Consider the following 2,599-nt stretch of genomic DNA (forward strand, 5'->3'; position numbering starts at 1 on the left):
GGCAACCAGCAGCCCTCAGGGGAGCTGCTCTGCCTATGGAGTGGCTATTCTTTATTCCTTTACTTCTTTTTTTTTTTTGAGAAGGAGTTTCACTCTGTCACCCAGGCTGGAGTGCAGTGGTGCGATCTCGGCTCACTGCAAGCGCCGCCTCCCGGGTTCACGCCATTCTCCTGCCTCAGCCTCCCAAGTAGCTGGGACTACAGGCACCCGCCACTGCGCCCGGCTAATTTTGTTTTTGTATTTTTAATAGAGACAGGGTTTCACCGTGTTAGCCAGGATGGTCTCGATCTCCTGACCTCGTGATCTGCCCACCTCAGCCTCCCAAAGTGCTGAGATTACAGGCGTAAGCCACCGCACCTGGCCTCCTTTACTTCTTTAATGAACTTGCTTTCACTTTATGGGCTTGCCTTCCTGAATTCTTTCTTGGGTGAGATCCAAGAACTTCTCTTGGGGTCTGGATCGGGACCCCTTTCTGGTAACATATCTATCTACCTACCAGCCTACCTGCCTGCCTATCTAAAGCACAATTTACACAGTGGTAATACCATGAAGATCATTTTGGTTCCCCCCTTTCCATGTCAGTGTTTCCCTTCTCCAACAGTGGAAGCCTGGCTCCCATTATCTCAATTTACCTGTATGTAGCCAATCTCCCAATTCATGCCCCACCCAGCTCACCCCTCCTGAGCCTGCGTCCTCTGAACTGGCTACCTACCTCATTCAGATTATTGCTTTTTTTTTTTTTTGGATGAAGGAAAAAAAGCAAGAAGCTTTCACTCGTGTCCATGTGAAGAGACCACCAAATAGGCTTTGTGTGAGCAGTGAGCAACAAGGCTGTTTATTTCACCTGGGTGCAGGAGGGATGAGTCTGAAAAGAGTCAGCAAAGGGAGATAGAGGTGGGGTCGTTTTATAAGATTTGGGTAGGTAAAGGAAAATTACAGTCAAAAGGGGCTTGTTCTCTGGTGGGCAGGAGTTGGGGGGGTGGTCACAAGGTGCTCAGTGGGGGAGCTTTTTGAGCCAGGATGAGGAGAAGGAATTTCACAAGATAATGTCATCAGTTAAGGCAAGGACCAGCCATTTTCACTTCTTTTGTGGTGGAATGTCATCAGTTAAGGCAGGAACAGGCCATTTAAATATCACTTCTTTTGTGATTCTTCAGTTACTTCAGGCCATCTGGATGTATAGGTGCAGGTCACAGGGGATATGATGGCTTAGGTTAGGCTCAGAGGCCTGACAGAAGCCAATACATATATTTAAGACAGAAAGAGAACAAAAGGGAATAGAAAGGAAGGGAAGGGAGAAGCGGGAGAGTTGGGTTATGTATTGGTTTGCATTTTTAAAAGAACACTGTGGCAGATTTGTAAAGAAAGAATTGAAGGGGAGCAAGAGTGTATTCTCCTCTTACTCATCTTGGCATTCCTAGCACTTTGGTAGCATATTTTAAGGAAGGTGCTATATAAATGTTTAGGGAAGGAAGAACGACAGTTAGGGTGGGGAGGAAAGACTAGAAGACTGAGGGAGGGGGACCAGAGGCTTCTCCAGAGGCACACACCATAGAATAAACTTTTGTTTTTCTTTTCCATAGTGGGAGTTGTTGCTCTCTACAGTCAAGGACAGAAAATCACTTTGATGTGTGTCTTCCTTTCTTTGTGAAGAACCTCTTAAGTGGCTTCCTATAGTTGCTTACATTATGTAGTAGTGTTGGACCCATTGTCCTGCAGAAGGGTAAATCGTCCTGAAGCAGATATTCTTTGTGCAGTGACAAATCACTCACAGTCTCTTTTAGTTATATAAATGTAGGACAAATAGGCCCTTTATCCTGGGAGAAGTTGTAAAAGAATTTTTTTCCCTTTCTCTCTCACTTGTTCAGGGTCGAAACCTTCCCTTCTTTCACACGCAGATCTGCATGTAAGTGGAGGACCTGTTTGCCTGGAAGCCCAGTGCCCCCTAGGAGGGAAGGGATTAAAGTTCAAGTCCCTGATCCCTGAGGTTCTGAAGTAGCAGTATATGGTATTGTGGCATGGCCCAAGGTCTAGGCAATACAGTTCCCTTGAGGCTGGAAGCAACTGAACCAGACTGAATTCTCTTTAGGTCAGATGGGTCCACTGGGTGGCAAAGGTTGGCGTCTGTCCTGAACCCACCATGTTGGGCCAGCCTGAGACCAGGGAAGTGTCTGTGTATGTGAACAAAAGAGTTGGCTACTAAGAGCAGGAAACTAGTGGTATTCTGGAGCTGGCTTAAACTGACTTGCAAGAACTGATTGTTAAATTTTCAGGAATGTTGCAAGCTGGTTGTTAAATACAGCCATTAATAAATATATGTTTTTAAACTTTTTGTTATATCATAGTTGTACATATTTGGGAGATATTTTTTTTTAATTTTTTTTTTTTTTTTGAGACGGAGTCTTGCACTATTGCCCAGGCTGGAGTGCAGTGGCCCCATCTCGACTCACTGCAAGCTCTGCCTCCCAGGTTCATGCCATTCTCCTGCCTCAGCCTCTAGAGTAGCTGGGACTACGGGTGCCCGCCACCACGCCTGGCTAATTTTTTGTACTTTTTTAGTAGAGACAGGGTTTCACCGTGTTAGCCAGGATGGTCTCGA

The 2,599-nt window shown here is 45.8% G+C and overlaps 2 annotated features.

The window, feature by feature from the left end:
• Positions 1,119–1,859: an enhancer, noted in NCBI's record as "NANOG-H3K27ac hESC enhancer chr1:117403141-117403881 (GRCh37/hg19 assembly coordinates)". NCBI's record gives its function as "activates a minimal SCP1, AML or CMV promoter by ChIP-STARR-seq in naive and primed H9 embryonic stem cells {active_cell/tissue: H9 hESC(naive and primed)}" and the evidence as "EXISTENCE:reporter gene assay evidence [ECO:0000049][PMID:30033119]".
• Positions 1,860–2,599: an enhancer, noted in NCBI's record as "NANOG-H3K27ac hESC enhancer chr1:117403882-117404621 (GRCh37/hg19 assembly coordinates)". NCBI's record gives its function as "activates a minimal SCP1, AML or CMV promoter by ChIP-STARR-seq in naive and primed H9 embryonic stem cells {active_cell/tissue: H9 hESC(naive and primed)}" and the evidence as "EXISTENCE:reporter gene assay evidence [ECO:0000049][PMID:30033119]".

The sequence above is a fragment of the Homo sapiens genome, chromosome 1 (genome assembly GCF_000001405.40).
Source record: "Homo sapiens chromosome 1, GRCh38.p14 Primary Assembly".
Lineage (NCBI taxonomy): Eukaryota > Metazoa > Chordata > Mammalia > Primates > Hominidae > Homo > Homo sapiens.